Source organism: Homo sapiens, chromosome 2, assembly GCF_000001405.40.
Source record: "Homo sapiens chromosome 2, GRCh38.p14 Primary Assembly".
NCBI classification, from domain to species: Eukaryota; Metazoa; Chordata; class Mammalia; order Primates; family Hominidae; genus Homo; species Homo sapiens.
The window spans coordinates 48,553,172-48,571,200 of NC_000002.12; the positions used below are offsets into that span (position 1 = coordinate 48,553,172).

General features: G+C 50.0%; 2 protein-coding genes across 4 annotated transcripts in view, besides 1 other annotated feature; both read left to right on the forward strand.

Annotated features, from left to right (window-relative positions):
• STON1-GTF2A1L (STON1-GTF2A1L readthrough) overlaps nt 1–18,029 on the forward strand; it is a 246,595-nt gene that overhangs the window by 23,247 nt on the left and 205,319 nt on the right. The window contains exon 1 of one of the 2 annotated variants that reach the window (NM_172311.3): nt 15,607–15,915. The exons of the other annotated variant lie outside the window; for it this stretch is intronic. The gene's annotated coding sequence lies outside the window, so the exon portion shown is untranslated. Of the gene's footprint in view, nt 1–15,606; nt 15,916–18,029 lie in introns of those variants that run through there. 2 annotated transcript variants of the gene reach the window in all.
• The window catches only part of STON1 (stonin 1), a 68,360-nt gene that overhangs the window by 23,018 nt on the left and 27,313 nt on the right, over nt 1–18,029 (forward strand). The window lies entirely within an intron of this gene.
• Nucleotides 7,073–7,611: an enhancer, noted in NCBI's record as "H3K4me1 hESC enhancer chr2:48787383-48787921 (GRCh37/hg19 assembly coordinates)". NCBI's record gives its function as "activates a minimal SCP1, AML or CMV promoter by ChIP-STARR-seq in naive H9 embryonic stem cells {active_cell/tissue: H9 hESC(naive)}" and the evidence as "EXISTENCE:reporter gene assay evidence [ECO:0000049][PMID:30033119]".

Genomic DNA, 18,029 nt, shown 5'->3' on the forward strand with positions numbered 1-18,029 from the left:
ACCAGATCCAAGAGGAGGGGAAACAGAGTCTTCCTCTTGATGGAAGAGGGGCAAGATGACATTTCAGAAGAGCAGGGTATGAAAGATATTGTTGCTGTGCCTTGGAAAACCTCCGGCCTGAAGGCTCAAGAGTTTAGACAGAAAGGCAGCTTCAGGGGGCAAATACCTCTCTGTAGACCCTTCCCTTCCCTTCTCTTCCCTTCCCTTCCCTTCCCTTCCCATCCCGTCCCATCCCCTCCCCTCCGCTCTTCCTCCTCCCTTTCTCTCTCTCTCTCGTTTGTTTTGTTTTGTTTTTTTCCTGTCCTGTCCTGTCCTTTCCTCTTTCCTTTTTTTGAGGTGGAGTTTTGCTCTTGTTTCCCAGGCCAGAGTGCAATGGCATGGTCTCGGCTCACTGCAACCTCTGCCTCCCGGGTTCAAGCGATTCTCCTGCCTCAGCCTCCCAAGTAGCTGGGATTACAGGCACATGCCACCATGCCTGGCTAATTTTTTTATTTTTAGTAGAGACACAGTTTTATCATGTTGGCCAGGCTGGTCTTGAACTCCTGATCTCAAGTGATGCACCTGCCTCGGCCTTCCAAAGTGCTGGGATTACAGGCGTGAGATACCATGACTGGCCTTAGACCCCTTCTTAGGAGAATTGATCCTCGTAGATTGTTTGAGTTTGAAGGGACCTTGGAAACTGCTTGATAGCAGTGACTTGTTCAAACTTACAAAGGCAGAGAGAAGCAGAGTTAGAAGAAAACCTAAATACTGGCTTCATGGTTCCCAGGCCAGGCAAATAGCTGTGGGGACTTCACCCAAAGGACTTCTGTGTGCTGTGAGCAGGAATACAAAGTCTGTTGGAGAGATGGGTGTGGGGAGAGAGCAGAACCCTGGGTGGTGTCCAGTGGAGACCATCCATCACCTTAGAGGTGGTGTGAGCTCCTGGTTGTGCTGGGCTGCATCTGTTGGGAGCTAGTGTGCCTTGCTGAGCTGGGCTGTGCAGAGGCACCTGAGATGACTTGGGCTTCCTGAGGAGGCTGGGTGTTACTCCTTTATTTTATTTTATTTATTTGTTTATTTGTTTTTGAGACAGAGTCTCTCTTTGTCGCCCGAGCTGGAGGGCAATGACACAATCTCGGCTCACTGCAACCTCCACCTCCCTGGTTCAAGCAGTTCTCCTGCCTCAGCCTCCCAACTAGCTGGGATTACAGGCGTGCACCACCATGCCCAGCTAATTTTTTGTATTTTTAATAGAGACGGGGTTTTACCACGTTGGCCAGGCTAGTTTCGAACTCCTGACCTCAGGTGATCTGCCTGCCTCGGCCTCCCAAAGTGCTAGGATTACAGGCGTGAGCCATTGCGCCCGGCCTTTTGCTTCTTTAAATTGGACTCAGAGTTGGGAGGAAAGAGGTTAGCCTGCCAGGGGCTCAAGCACCCAAGGTTGAGACTTAGAGATCTGTAAATTTACATATAGGCTAAGGTCGAAAATGTCAGTTGGCACATCCAGTCATTGGCTCCCACGTATGCGTTTCTACTCAAACTTTAAGTGCAAAATTTTTTTTTTTTTTTTTTATTTATTTATTTATTTTTTTATTGATAATTCTTGGGTGTTTCTCACAGAGGGGGATTTGGCAGGGTCATGGGACAATAGTGGAGGGAAGGTCAGCAGATAAACAAGTGAACAAAGGTCTCTGGTTTTCCTAGGCAGAGGACCCTGCGGCCTTCCGCAGTGTTTGTGTCCCTGATTACTTGAGATTAGGGATTGGTGATGACTCTTAACGAGCATGCTGCCTTCAAGCATCTGTTTAACAAAGCACATCTTGCACCGCCCTTAATCCATTTAACCCTGAGTGGACACAGCACATGTTTCAGAGAGCACAGGGTTGGGGGTAAGGTCACAGATCAACAGGATCCCAAGACAGAGGAATTTTTCTTAGTGCAGAACAAAATGAAAAGTCTCCCATGTCTACTTCTTTCTACACAGACACTGCAACCATCCGATTTCTCAATCTTTTCCCCGCCTTTCCCGCCTTTCTATTCCACAAAGCCGCCATTGTCATCCTGGCCCGTTCTCAATGAGCTGTTGGGCACACCTCCCAGACGGGGAGGTGGCTGGGCAGAGGCGCCCCTCACCTCCCGGACGGGGCGGCTGGCCGGGCGGGGGGGGCTGACCCCCCCCACCTCCCTCCCGGATGGGGCGGCTGGCCGGGCAGAGGGGCTCCTCACTTCCCAGTAGGGGCGGCCGGGCAGAGGCGCCCCTCACCTACCGGACGGGGCCACTGGCCGGGCAGGGGGGCTGACCCCCCCCACCTCCCTCCCGGACGGGGCGGCTGGCCGGGTGGGGGGCTGACCCCCCCACCTCCCTCACGGACGAGGCGGCTGGCCGGGCGTGGGGCTGACACCCCCACCTCCCTCCTGGACAGGGCGGCTGGCCGGGCGGGGGGCTGACCCCCCCACCTCCCTCCCGGATGGGGCGGCTGGCCGGGCGGGGGGCCGACCCCCCCACCTCCCTCCCGGACGGGGCGGCTGGCCGGGCAGAGGGGCTCCTCACTTCCCAGTAGGGGCGGCCGGGCAGAGGCGCCCCTCAACTCCCAGACGGGGCGGCTGGCCGGGCGGAGGGCTGACCCCCCCACCTCCCTCCCGGACGGGGCGGCTGGCCGGGTGGGGGGGCTGACCCCCCCATCTCCCTCCCGGACGGGGTGGCTGGCCGGGCGGGGCGCTGACCCCCCCACCTCCCTCCCGGACGGGGCGGCTGGCCAGGCGGGGGGCTGACCCCCCCACCTCCCTCCCGGACGGGGCGGCTGGCCGGGTGGGGGGGCTGACCCCCCCATCTCCCTCCCGGACGGGGTGGCTGGCCGGGCGGGGCGCTGACCCCCCCACCTCCCTCCCGGACGGGGCGGCTGGCCAGGCGGGGGGCTGACCCCCCCACCTCCCTCCCGGACGGGGCGGCTGGCCGGGTGGGGGGGCTGACCCCCCCATCTCCCTCCCGGACGGGGTGGCTGGCCGGGCGGGGCGCTGACCCCCCCACCTCCCTCCTGGACGGGGCGGCTGGCCAGGCGGGGGGCTGACCCCCCCACCTCCCTCCCGGACGGGGCGGCTGGCCGGGCAGAGGGGCTCCTCACTTCCCAGTAGGGGCGGCCGGGCAGAGGCGCCCCTCAACTCCCAGACGGGGCGGCTGGCCGGGCGGAGGGCTGACCCCCCCACCTCCCTCCCGGACAGGGCGGCTGGCCGGGCGGGGGGCTGACCCCCCCACCTCCCTCCCGGATGGGGCGGCTGGCCGGGCAGAGGGGCTCCTCACTTCCCAGTAGGGGCGGCCGGGCAGAGGCGCCCCTCACCTCCCAGACGGGGCGGCTGGCCGGGCGGGGCGCTGACCCCCCCACCTCCCTCCCGGACGGGGCGGCTGGCCAGGCGGGGGGCTGACCCCCCCACCTCCCTCCCAGACGGGGCGGCTGGCCGGGTGGGGGGGCTGACCCCCCCATCTCCCTCCCGGACGGGGTGGCTGGCCGGGCTGAGGGGCTCCTCACTTCCCAGTAGGGGCGGCCGGGCAGAGGCGCCCCTCACCTCCCGGACGGGGCGGCTGGCCGGGCGGGGGGCTGACCCCCCCACCTCCCTCCTGGACGGCACGGCTGCCCGGGCGGGGGGGCTGACCCCCCACCTCCCTCCCGGACGGGGCGGCTGGCCGGGTGGGGGGGCTGACCCCCCCATCTCCCTCCCGGACGGGGTGGCTGGCCGGGCTGAGGGGCTCCTCACTTCCCAGTAGGGGCGGCCGGGCAGAGGCGCCCCTCACCTCCCGGACGGGGCGGCTGGCCGGGCGGGGGGCTGACCCCCCCACCTCCCTCCTGGACGGCACGGCTGCCCGGGCGGGGGGGCTGACCCCCCACCTCCCTCCCGGATGGGGCGGCTGGCCGGGCGGGGGGCTGACCCCCCCCCACCTCCCTCCCGGACGGGGTGGCTGCCGGGCGGAGACGCTCCTCACTTCCCAGATGGGGTGGCTGCCGGGCGGAGACGCTCCTCACTTCTCAGACGGGGCAGCTGCCGGGCGGAGGGGCTCCTCACTTCTCAGACGGGGTGGTTGCCAGGCAGAGGGTCTCCTCACTTCTCAGACGGGGCGGCCGGGCAGAGACGCTCCTCACCTCCCAGACGGGGTCTCGGCCGGGCAGAGGCGCTCCTCACATCCCAGATGGGGCGGCGGGGCAGAGGCGCTCCCCACATCTCAGACGATGGGCGGCCGAGCAGAGAGGCTCCTCACTTCCTAGATGTGATGGCGGCCGGGCAGAGACGCTCCTCACTTTCCAGACTGGGCAGCCAGGCAGAGGGGCTCCTCACATCCCAGACGATGGGCGGCCAGGCAGAGACACTCCTCACTTCCCAGACGGGGTGGCGGCCGGGCAGAGGCTGCAATCTCGGCACTTTGGGAGGCCAAGGCAGGCGGCTGGGAGGTGTAGGTTGTAGTGAGCCGAGATCACGCCACTGCACTCCAGCCTGGGCACCATTGAGCACTGAGTGAACGAGACTCCGTCTGCAATCCCGGCACCTCGGGAGGCCGAGGTTGGCGGATCACTCGCGGTTAGGGGCTAAGTGCAAAATTTTTTGTTAAAGCCTTTGGTAGTCTTTGAAATTCAATAAAGTTCACAAGTATTTTGCAAGCACTCCCCATAGACTTGGAGACTTAAATATTATTTTTTGTGTGCTGAAGTTTGCTTTTGAGACTAAGACATTACTAAAGTTAATGCCAATCTTTTATAACTGCTTTGTATATAGGACCTTAATAAAGAATTTTAAAAATCTGTCAGGTGCGGTGGCTCATGCCTGTAATCCCAGCACTTTGGGAGGCTGAGGTGGGTGGATCACCTGAGGTCGGGAGTTCGAGACCAGCATGACCAATATGGAGAAACCCCATCTCTACCAAAAATACAAAAATTAGCTGGGCTTGGTGGCACATGCCTGTAATCCCAGCTACTCGGCAGGCTGAGGCAGAAGAATCGCTTGAACCCGGGAGGCAGAGGCGGCAGTGAGCCAAGATCGCACCATTGCACTTCTAGCCTGGGCGAAGAGCGAAACTCTGTCTGTCTCAAAATAGAGAAAGAAAAAAATCTTTCTCTATTTTGAGTATTGTTCAAGTTGTTACGTATTTATACACATATATATCAATGGAATTCCGTGGAAGTAGAGAGGAATAGAAGCAAACATGCTGTTGTTATGTTATCTGTAATTCAGCAGTACTTGCCTGTGTCCACAGTGATGTGGACATTTCCAGGTGAGCATGATGGTCAGCAACAGCCTAGGACTGGCCATGGACAAACCAATATGCATTTGATTTTGTGGCACACACACAATACTGCTAATCTCTGCTCAGTGGCTTGTGGCCCAGTTTAGGCAGCCAGAGAAGAGATCTGCCATAGCTATGATCACAGTGTGTGTAATTGGATTTTGTATCTGCTTACTGGGGTGAATAAAGCCAGGTGGGAGAAATTCTTTTACACTGGCGTTAACTGGCACATAACTCAAATCAACAGAAACATGAGCAGAGGGTATAGTGGCAAAGGGCTTGTTTGCTGCCCTATGTCTTTACTCAAGCAGATGTCCCTTCCCCATGAAGCCTTCCTTGCTCCTGAGCCAGGGCTGCATTTGATACTGCTCATTCCTAACCTCCCAGTGCACTTTAGCAGAGAAGGATGAGCACATTTTATCTTTCATTTGTTGTTTTCTCTGGCCTTTCCTACAAGGTTATAAAAGCCTTAGGAGCAGGCATCTATACAGGTTGAGTGTCCCTAATCCAAAATCTGAAATCTCGAAAGTTAGGACCTTTTCGAATGCTGACCTGAGGCTGAAAGGAAATACTCATTGGAGCATTTCAGATTTTGGATTTTCAGATTAGGGATGCTGAGCTGGTAAGTATAATACAAATATTTCAAAATCTGAAAACATCTGAAATCTGAAACACTTCTGGTCCCAAGCGTTTTAGATAAGGGATATTCAACCTGTAGTAACAAGAGCTTCTATTTAACATCTCCCCCATGTACCTGGCATTTTACAGATGTTACTTTATTTAGTATGTGCAAGAATCATTTAACATAACTGTCTTACTCCCTTGAGCTTGCTATAACAAAAAATAGCTTAGATTGAGTAGCTTATAAGAAGAGAAATGTCTTGCTCACAGTTCTGGAGGCTGGGAAGTCCAATATCAAGGCTCCAGTGGACTTGATGTCTGCTGAGGTCCTGTTCCTCACAGATGGCACCTTCTATGTGTTCTCAGATGGCGGAAGGGACAAACAAGCTCTCTGGGGCCTCTTTGATAAAGACACTAATTCTGTTCATAAGGTCAGAGCCCTTATGACCTAATCACCTCCCAAAGGGCCCACCTCTTGTTACTGTCACATTGGGGATTAAGTTTCAGCATATGAATTTTGGGAGACATAAACATCCAGAGCATAAACGTAACTAATGTTATCCTTGTTTCACACCTGAGAAGACAGAGGCTCAGGGAATTGAAGTAACTTGCTCCATGTCACTGCTAGGCAGTGGCAGGGCTGGGATTGAAACACAAATCTCTCTAACTTCTAAGCCCTTTTCCTACCATACCACCAGGGAATCAGACCTCTGCAGTTTCCATGGTGCTTAACTCAGAACCCAGCACTTAGGGGATGTGGTCTTTGCTGAATGAATAAGCAGGGGATGTGTGATACAAGAATTTGTACCAGAACCTTTGGCCAACATTTCCCCAAGGCCCAGCATCCAATGGTAGAGATCCTGGGTGACTCTCTGTAGATGGTGGTCCTTCACTTCTCATATAGGCCATTCCAATCTGAATGCAGCTTGTTTTGTGTGTGGGAAGGAATTACGTTTTAGGGTATTAAATATCCTTTCTGGGCCATTTAGTTACTTGTCTCCTCTCAAAACACTAAAAGCAATTACATGGTAATTAAGATAAATTACTTGACCAATTTTCATAGCAAACTGATTGGTTTCACTTATCCCCCCACTGAACTGTTAAGACCTGGCGAGATCCTTTTTATAGTTCTTTAAACTTCCAGGACTTTCTGCTTATCTTCAGGAAGGACAGTGGACCTTCAGGGGAGAGGAGAAGGAGGAAATTTGCATATTTAAAATGTGTGATCTGAGCCAAACGCTCTTCAGCTAACTTGATCTCGCATCATTTTCCCAGCTTCCTTTGAGAATTCAGAATCAAAATTCAGGCATCACCATCTAGTGACCACAGGGTCCTGCACCCCAGCCCAAACCTGGGGACCCCTTAGGGATAATGCCCTTTCTCATTTGTCTTTGAGTGCCCTGCTCTTTCCACTGAAGAGCCCACAGAACACAGATGCCAGCAGGCAGCCCTGAAAGCAGGCCTTGTTTGCAGGTCTTTGCCTGAACGAAGCCTGCTTGTCTGCCTCCTTCTGAAGGCCAGGGGTGGGCTACATTTTTTGGAGAGTAGGAAGCCCAGGGGTCCTCTTCGTGCTGCTCCTGAGAACAGAAGGTAGATAGGGTATGAAGAGGCAGCCGTTGCTAGGGCTGCCAGAAACCAGTCCACCCAGGAAACAACACAGCTCCACAGCTGCAGTGAGCACAGCTGCAGAAACCCAGGAGCTGGGCGAGAGGGTGGGGGTTAAGATCCAGGCCTCTACCCCAGGCCCCAGCATCCATGCTGGGCAAGCAGGCCACGTGCTCCCTTGCTTCCAGACTGGCAGCCTAGCCTCCTTGAAATTGGCCCTCACTTTATCCCCACCCACCTAATCAGCAAGCCCCAAAGTCTCCCCTTGTCTCTGCTCTCTGCTGTTCTTCTAGGGCCCATGAGGGAACTTTTCTGCCTTGGGGGCTCCTCCACCTCCTGGTTTCACCTTAGCTTTTTGTGTGTGTCTTACTTTCTCCTTTTCATTTCCTCCTCTTGTAAAGTGACCCAGCCCTGGGGCTTTACCCATTGTCTTGCATTCAGCTCTCACAGCGCTGAAAGACCTCCACTCTCTACCTCTAGCCCTTGGTTTTCTCTCTGGATACTGCCTCTTGTGTCTAGCTTCATGAATGAGGCTTCCATGTGGACATACCTCAGACCTGACCAATGTGCATAAAACCAGCTCCCTGTCCTGTCTCTCCTGTGGCTCCACTAGTCCAAGGGCCAGATGCCCCACTCTCCTTTGTTTTCTAGATTATATTTGGTGTACAAATCCCATCAAGGCTTTACAAATATTCTTTTATCTGCCCTTTCTCCCTTCCGATTTCCATCTCGGAAGTCAGTATACTATAGGGCAAAGTGCAGAATTTGGGGCTATGGACAGGGTTCAACTCTGATAGCATCATTTTCTGATTGTGCGAACCTCAGGAAAATCATCAAATAGAAGCCTCTGATTCATTATCTACGAAGCAGACACATACAGAAGGGTGGATCCCAGCTCACTGACCTCCTTGCTTTTGACATTTTGGACTGGAAAATTCTTGTTGTGGGGCTGCCCTGTGCATTGTAGAATGTTTAGCAGCATCTCTGGCCCCTACTTACTAGACGCTAGTAGCATTCCTGATTGTCAGTTGTGACAATGAAAAATGTCTCCGGACACTGCCAAATGTTTCCTGGGGAGTTAACTTGCTCCTGTTTGAGACCCATTGGTACAGAGTAATGCTAAGTCCTGGGTGGTGGTAATGAATATTAACCCAGGTTTTCAGGTTTTCACCTTTCAGTCGTCAGCCACATGTATGAAGTTCCCACATTACTTTTATTTTTTATTTTTTTGAAACAGAGTCTCACTCTGTCACCCAGGCTGGAGTGCAGTGGTGCAATCTCAGCTCATTGCAACCTCTGCCTCCCCGGTTCAAGTGATTCTCGTGCCTCAGCCTCCCGAGTAGCTGGGATTACAGGCGTGCGCCACCACGCCCAGCTAATTTTTGTATTTTTAGTAGAAACGGGGTTCTACCACGTTGGCCAGGCTTGTCTCTAACTCCTGACCTTAAGTAATCCACCCACCTTGGCCTCCCAAAGTGCTGGGATTACAGGTGTGAGCCACCGCACCTGGCCTCATGTTACTTTTGATTAGTCTTTTTCCCAGTTAGTTTTGACATCTGCAGGTGCTGTTCTGACTTGCTTGATTAATTAGTTCCTTTCATGTTACACATTTTTCAAATCAGAACACACTGGGATTGAACCTTGATATTCTGTTGTTTGAGAATGAGAGACCAGTTCAGAGTTGTTCAGAAACCTCAGAACTCCCAGTGGGGATGCCTGCAGGTTTGACACCGCCTTGCTGCTCAGGGATCCTAGGCTTGTAGCAATGGCGAATGCTGATTTGAACACCCTGCCCATACTTGTGACAAGCATTTGTTTAAAGTGCCTACTATGCAGAATTTTGCTAACGTTAATTTATTTGGTCCTTGTGAAGTAGGTGTTACTTATTTTCACTTTACAGAAAAGCAAAGTGAGGCCAAAAGATACGAAGCAACACTGCCTCAGAGATGCTAAGTAGAAGAAATGCCATGAGAGGCCAGGTGACTTTGGCATGAAAGCTGGTGATGCTAAATCTCTGTGCTCTTCTGCCTTTTTGGGTTGAGCCTTTGCTGTGGCTAGAGCACAGAAGCTTATGAAGGAGGAGCTCCTTTTAATTGTGGCTCAGAAGTTGCCCATCTTGCCACCTACAGGTTCTGTGGGTGGAGAGCAGACCTATAGGCCAGACAGATGGCTGGTTGAGACCATGAGCCCCAGCACTGTGTCCAGCACAGGGAAAGCCCCCATTAAGGGAGCTTCCTCCTTGATAACTTGGACAACACTTGGTTGAACAACACACTGGATGCTCACTTTCCCCAGAGAGAACAGCCCAAGAGTTCAGTGATACTTACTCAAATTGTAGATGAGAGACTGACTGACCTTGCCCTCTGAAGTGGGAAACTGAGGAGGGTTCCCAGAGGCCTGTGAAGGGCAGGTAACCAGGAATGGTGACATGGTAAGGTTGAGTGGAGACAGACTGTGGCCCCATGGCCCTAGGCAGAGTGCACACTGGGCATCCTGCAGCATTGCAGAGACCCATTCCCATGGGAAATCCCCTGATTTCTCCACCTTAGCCAGGAGAGTCCTGGGGCCTATGGGTGGGAGGCTTGAGTGTTGACAGTCAGAGGGGCTGTGATGAGAGCTGCCAGGTGCCATTCTCAATGCCCAGAGGATGCTCTGGGGAAGAAAGCCCTCACATGTTTGCCAAGGTCAAAAGCAAGAGCTCATTCCAGTCATGGTCTGTGTGGAAGCTCTTTGGTCTGCTGTCTTGGAAAGCAAAGGCAGGGATGTCCTCCTACGCGGACTGCTGGTCTCCCAGGAAAAGAATCTGTGGCTCTTACTTGTCCTGAGTGATGCTAAGACCCTGCTAAGTCAAAGAAGCTGCTATAGGCACAGAGCCAGTACCCATGGTCATAGCAGACAGTGGGCAATAGAATACAAAAGGCCGAGGTGTCCAGAGGTAAAGGTGGACTGTGTGTTCCCTAGTCTCAGACTCTTGTGTCTTCAGCATGCTCCTGAGGGTTCTGAGGCACACCCTCCACGTGGCTTTTTTTGTTTGTTTGTTTGTTTTTGTTGTTGTTGTTGTTTTTGAGACGTGGTCTCACTGTGATTCAGGCTGGAGTGCAGTGGTGTGATTTCGGCTCAATGCAGCGTCAACCTTCCAGGTTCAAGCAGTTCTCTCACCTCGGCCTCCTAAGTAGCTGGGACTACAGCCACATGCCACCATGCCTGGCGAATTTTTTTTTTTTAACTTTTAATGGAGATGAGGTCTCACTATGTTGCCCAGGCTGGTCTTGAACTCCTGACTCAAGCGATCCACCCACCTCAGCCCTCCAAAGTGCTGGGATTACAGGTGTGAGCCACCACGCCTGCCCTCCACGTGGGTTCTTAAGGAAAACTACCTGTTTCTCCCTCCTGTTAGAGGCCCGTGACTGGCTCTGGGAAGGATTGCCATGAAGAGACCTGTAAGCCCTTTCTGATAAGGATTTCTCAAAGGCATTTGACCATGGGTATTTTCTCCACAAACCTATTAAGTTTTCTCCATTTAGAGAGATGGTATCTTCAAGAATGTCTTCAAGTTTGAGCTACTATCACAAAATACCATAGACCAGGTGGCTTATAAGCAACAGAGATTTATTTCTCACAGTTCCAGAGGCTGAGGTCTAAGATCAGGGTACTAGCATGGTTGGGTTCTGGTGAGGGTTGCAGATGGCTGATTTCTCATTACATCCTCACATGGCAGAAAGAGAGTGAGCTAGGTCCTCCAGTGGCAGTGGCGGTGTCTTCTTCTTCTTCTTCTTCTTCTTCTTCTTCTTCTTCTTCTTCTTCTTCTTCTTCTTCTTCTTCTTCTTCTTCTTTCTTCTTCTTCTTCTTCTTCTTCTTCTTCTTCTTCTTCTTCTTCTTCTTCTTCTTCTTCTTCTTCTTCTTCTTCTTCTTCTTCTTCTCCTTCTCCTTCTCCTCCTCCTCCTCCTCCTCCTCCTTCTCCTTCTCCTTCTCCTTCTCCTTCTCTTTCTCCTTCTCCTTCTTCTTCTTCTTTCTTATTTCTTCTTCTTCTTCTTCCTTCTTTCTTCTTCTTCTTCTTCCTTATTTCTTCTTTCTTTCTTTCTTTCTTTTTTTTTTTTTTTTTAAGATGGAGTCTCACTCTGTCACCTAGGCTGGAGTGCAGTGGCACGATCTTGGCTCACTGCAACCTCTGCCTCCTGGGTCCAAGTGATTCTCCTGCCTCAGCCTCCTGAGTAGCTGGAATTACAGGCGTGCACCACCACGCCCGGCTAATTTTTGTATTTTTAGTAGAGACGGGGTTTCACCATGTTGGGCAGGATGGTCTTGAACTCCTGATATCAGGTGATCCACCTGCCTCAGCCTTCCAAAGTGCTGGGATTACAGACGTGAGCCACTGTCCCTGGCCCTCCGGCTTCTTCTTTTTTTTTTTTTTTTTTTTTTTATAAGAAGGAGTCTCGCTCTGTCGCCCAGGCTGGAGTGCAGTGGTGTGATCTCTGCTCACTGCAAGCTCCGCCTCCCAGGTTCATGCCATTCTCCTGCCTCAGCCTCCCGAGTGGCTGGGACTACAGGCGCCCGCCACCACGCCCGGCTAATTTTTTGTATTTTTGGTAGAGACAGGGTTTCACCATGTTAGCCAGGATGGTCTCGATCTCCTGACCTCGTGATCCACCCGCCTCGGCCTCCCAAAGTGCCAGGATTACAGGCGTGAGCCACCGCGCCCAGCCTCCGACTTCTTATACAGGTACTAATCCTATTCATGAGGGCTCTACACTCATGACCTCATTACCTTCTAATGGCCCCATCTCTAAATATCATCACATTGGGATTCAGGTTTCAACATAGGAATTTTGTGGGGACACAAACATTAAGCCCATAACAAAGGAGGATCCCTGAGCAGGGAATTGGGCACAGGGATCTAAGACAGGGAATTATATTATCAGATCCCCAGGGCAGAATACAGGCATGGTCATAAGTTAGGCAGAATGGAGACACAGTTCTAGAAAAAGATTCATAGCAAGTTGTCTTGATGGTAAACCAAGGTCCAGAGTTGGGCCTCTTTAGCTTCCTCCTGACTGGAGAAAGCAGGTGTTCTAAAGGCTAGAGTAGGGACAGAGGAGGAGAAAGGAAAACTAACATATATCGAGTACATTTATGAGGCAATTTACATATGAGGTAAAATTAATATTACCATTTTACAGATGAGGAAACTGTGGCTCAGTGACCTGCTTAGCAAATTTCTATAGCATCTATGGCAGTGACATGAACATGGTATGGATACATCATAGAAATGTCATGATAATAAGGATAAAATTCTAAAATCCGAATACCCACCCAACTCCAAATCTTCTCTTTGTTCATGTAATGACCATTTTCTGGGACTAGCCAGTTTGGGTTGGATTCTGTTCATATTACTGTCAAAGATAAACACAGCTGGACATTAGTTAAAGTGGTGAGAATAGATTTTTAATTGGTAATAACTATTGCAACAGGGAAAAGAGTCTAGCTTGAACCAAACTCAATTTCCATTTGTACAGAGGTGACTGGGCATATTAGTTTTTATTTTTTTGAGATGGAGTTTCACTCTGTCACCCAGGCTGGAGTGCAGTGGCACCATCTTGGCTCACTGCAACCTCCACCTCCCAGGTTCAAGTGATTCTCCTGCCTCAGCTTCCCAAGTAGCTGGGATTACAGGTGCCCACCACCACGCCCGGCTAATTTTTGTATTTTTAGTAGAGACGGGGTTTCACCATGTTGGTCAGGCTGGTCTCGATCTTCTGACGTCAGGTGATCTGCCCACCTCAGTCTCCACCATGCCCGGCTAATTTTTGTATTTTTAGTAGAGACGGGGTTTCACCATGTTGGTCAGGCTGGTCTCAATCTTCTGACGTCGGGTGATCCGCCCACCTCAGTCTCCCAAAGTGCTGAGATTACAGGCGTGAGCCACCGCACCCGACCTGTGACTGGGCATTTTAAAGGGAGAATGAGCTCAAGGGAGTCAGGGAAGTGAAAAATTACAAAAAGTGGGAAGGAGGGGTTGGTCCATGTGAAATCCATCTGGGTTTGCAAACTGGCATTTATCAAAGTTAGGCTCCTACTCTCCCACTGACGCTAGAGGGACCCTATCTTCAGGCATTGATTGAAACAAACATTGAATTCTTCAGGCAGCCTTGCGTTTTCTCAGGCGGGCACTTTAAGAGGGGCTGGTGTTGTGGTGGTGTGGCCTCGAGCCATTGGAAGCAATATTAGTGTTTGTTCAAGTCGTTACAGGCTGAAGTTGAAAGGCCTATTCAAGAAGCAGACTCTGAGCCTGGCTAGAATTTGGTCAAAGAGAGAATCTATGTCACTATTCTCTAAATTTAGGAAATGAACAGATTATTAGAACAAGGTAAAAAAAAAAAGTTGGCACCCAAGTTTATGCTGGAAAAATGAAGGTTAAATGCCGTAGGGGAGGGGCAGTGTTAGGGAATTGAGCTGGAACCAGCACTGACAATATTTGAAAGCATGGTTAGGTTTTGCTGTGGTTTAATATTTTACAAATGTTATTCCCTGTCACATAGCTGAACTAAATACCCCACATGTTTGCGATTAAGCATTATGAGCTGCAGAACATATGTGCTAATAATATGGTTCATGCAGCCTGTGGGCACTTCTCCCATGACCTAAGATGAAGGTGAGGCTTTTTGATTTTCCTTAAGGTATTGTGTTTTCTGATGATTCCTTTTTGTTCCAAACTTTCGCTTTCCCCTTTAGAACGAAGCCTTTTACAGGAATGATATTTTATTTTTATATATTTATTTTTTTTGAGATGCAGTCTTGCCCTGTCATCCAGGCTGGAGTGCAATGGCGCGATCTTAGCTCACTGCAGTCTCCGCCTCCTGTGTTCAAGCGATTCTCCTGCCTCAGCCTCCTGAGTAGCTGGGATTACAGGCGCCCACCACCGTGCCCGGCTAATTTTTGTATTTTTAGTAGAGACGGGGTTTTGCCATGTTGGTTTCGGACTCCTGACCTCAGGTGATCTGCCCGCCTCGGCCTCCCAAAGTGCTGCGATTACAGGCGTGAGCCACTGCACCTGGCCAGGAATGGTATTTTAAATACTGTCATAGCAAGCCCTTAAGAAAATTCTTCACAGCTGCATGTTAACACACTGGCCTGTCCCTGACTTTGGCTTTGTTTCCAGGATATACAGTTGTTTCTGGAATGTACAGTAGCTAGATTGCAGCCCTCCAATCATACAAAAACAGACTGAGGGTTTGGAAATGCTGCTAAAGTCTAGTTACAGTGTTGCTCTTGAGGAGTCTGGCGCTATAGGGAGTCTGAGAATTCCTTATTTGAAAAACAGCCAATGGAACCGCACAGACACACTGAAATTAAGACATTCTTTCTGTAGATTATGCAGCATTGTTAGAGAGCAAAGAAAAGCCACAGGAATAAAGGACTCAATTCAGCCCTCTGCTGAAGGAGAGGGTGTTCCTGAGGCTTGAGTAGGAATTGACCCAACAGGGACAGTTTGGTTGGGCTGATACCAGGAGGCTACTGAGAGGTGTCGATGATGCCTTCCTGAGCTCTGCTGAATACCTCCTTGGCATCAGTCCTCCCCCAACATCTAGCAGAAACAGAGGAGCCAGACATTAGGGACCACATTGGGGCGTGCTTTTCCCCACAGATGCATACTGAAGTGGGGACAAAGTCTTCAGCTGCCATATGACCTGGATTGCTGTTTCACCTATCACATGCATCTAATCTGACTTCAACAATCTACAGGAGAAGGTAGAACTTCATATTTACATTTTATTTGAGTGGTTTATGAAGAAAAGTAGAGGAAAACTGCAAAGAACGGCAGAAGTAGACTCTTGAGGTTGGAGGGGAGTAGGGGATGATGGTGTGGGAGGGATGAACTTTGCAGGGAGTTACACAAAATTTGGAAAATTACAGAGAATACTGGAATCGCCACTAAAAGAGAGGCAGGGCACCTAAATCTATTTATTAGACAACAATTCTGAGAAATTATTCATCACTAAGGGCAGGACAGTCAGTTGATGCAGTCAAGAAGGGGCAGGAAATAGGGCGAGCTGAGTTATGAAAGCCATTCTCAGAAATGACCCAAATTTGTACTGAGCTGTTGTTCTTGAGCAACCTTGGGGAAAATTATCAGTCTGCTTTTCCCACAGCCTGATGTCCAAGGGGCAGATACGTGTGGTGGGCTTGCTGGAGAAATAGGCTCTTCTCACGTGAGAACAGCATCCTTCCAATCTAGAGCTCCTGGCTCCAGGAAGTGGTGGTGGCTCTACCCTGGTGCTATTTCATTAGTGAAGGGTGGGGTGGTGGAAAGTGCAGAAAAGGCAGGACCCCTGACACCAGCAAGGCATTGGATCTCTCTGGACCTCCGGGTGGTGGACTTTGGGACTGGACAGACCTGGTCACAGTCTAGGTTCTACATCTTACTGGTCGAGCAACTTTAGGCAAGTAGCTTAACTCCTCCGAACTTATTTTCCTTTTCTACCAAATAATGATAATATTACTTCATGAGTTTGTGAGTATTAAATGAGATCATGCATATACAGCCTACAGCCCTTAGCACACCATGAACACATAGTTATTTGATAAATGTTTGTTAGTGTGGTTAATTGAACAGAAAGCCTTAAATGTCTTCCTAACCCTAAAATCCAGTGATTCTTTGAACTGGGGAGGGCAGTAGAGAGATTTAATTTGTGGAAAAATGAAAAGACCATTTAAAATTATTCAATCAGAAATGTATTAAGCTTTGTGTATTTGTGTCAGGCATTTGTAGACAGTGTGGAAAATGTCTTATCCAATGATTCTTTGAACTGGGAGGGAAGTAGAGAGACTTAATTTGTGGAAAAGTGAAAAGACCATTTAAAATTATTCAATCAGAAATGTATTAAGCTTTTTGTATTTGTGTCACAGGCATTTGTAGACAGTGTGGAAAATGTCTTAATAAATGAGACATGCTCTTTCCTTGAAAAAGCTTCAGTCTGACTCACAAAGAGTATATGAATTTTTTCCTATGATGGCTTGAAAGATTTTATCTTCAAATTCCTTTTTGTGAGATTGTTTTTCCATACCAGTGCTTCTTATTTATAGGGCTTGTTGCAAGTAATTTGCAATATTGTTACAGGTTGAGTATCCTTTACACCAAATGCTCAGACCAGAAGTGTTTTAGATTTTTTTGGATTTTGGAGTATTTGCATCCCCAAATCTAAAATGCTCAAGTGAGCTTTTCCTTTGAGTGTCATGTTGGCATTCAAAACATTTTGAATTTTGGAGCAATTCAGATTTTGTGTTTTTGAATTAGAGATAATCAATTTGTAATAATATTTAAGGTATTGCTGTTTGTGAAAGATGTATTTTTAAACGATTTAGAGTCAATTCATGATAATCTCCGTAATACTCTTACAAGAATTCCAGGCTGGGCATGGTGGCTCATGCCTGTAATCCCAGCGCATTGGGAGGCCAAGGCAGACAGATCACTTGAGGTCAGGAGTTTGAGGCCAGCCTGGCCAACATGGCGAAACCCCATCTCTACTAAAAATACAAAAATTAGCAGGGCATGGTGATGCACATCTGTAATCTCAGCTACTCGGGAGCCTGAGGCAGGAGAATCACTTGAACCCGGGAGGTAGAAGTGTAGTGAGCTGAGATTGCACCACTGCACTCCAGCCTGGGTGACAGAGTGAGACTCAGTCTCAAATTAAAAAAAAAAAGAATTCCAATATGATTTCTTAAGTGGGAGAAAGGGGTGGATTGTACAAACTGTGTGCAAGTGCAACCTTTGTTCGTGTTTTGTGTGAACCCTCCTATTGCTGATCACCACTTAAAATGGTAGGGACAATTAGTTAGTTCAGGGCTTCCCTAAATATGGGGAGTGCTAAATTCTGGGTACATCCAAGAGCACGTGCTAGGCTTTTGAATGCCATTTGTCACACATATTGAGGTCTAAGGTTGCAAACCATTGTATACTAGATCCTTGTTATTCCTGGTGTGAATAGGCATGTGTGCCTACTTTTAATTTCTTCTTGAGTTCAGTGCTTTGAAAACAGACAGCTGAAGAAAATGTCTAATAGTCTAAAGAGGAAGCAAACACTTTCCTAGAAACCTTCGAAACTCAGAAATGGATTTCTAGAAATTCTAGCCATAATACATACTCCTTTTCTTTCTGGGCCTCATTCAGAATCTTGATGTCTCAACTGTCTCTGAGTTTTTTTTTTTTTTTTTTTTTTTTTTTTGTCTTTCCCCAGACAGAGTCTTGCACTATCCCCCAGGCTGGAGTGCAGTGGAGTGATCTTGGCTCACTGCAACCTCCACCTCCTGGGCTCAAGCGATTCTCCTGCCTCAGCCTCCCGAGTAGCTGTGAGGAGCACCACCACACCCAGCTAATTTTTGTATTTTTGGTAGAGACAGGGTTTCACCATGTTGGCCAGGCTGCTCTTGAACTCCTGGCCTCCAGTGATCTGCCCGCCTTGGCCTTCCAAAGTGCTGGGATTACAGGCATGGGCCACTGTGACTGGCCTTGTCTCTGAATTTTGTGTGGAATTGTCCTCTAGGAGTTTGCAGG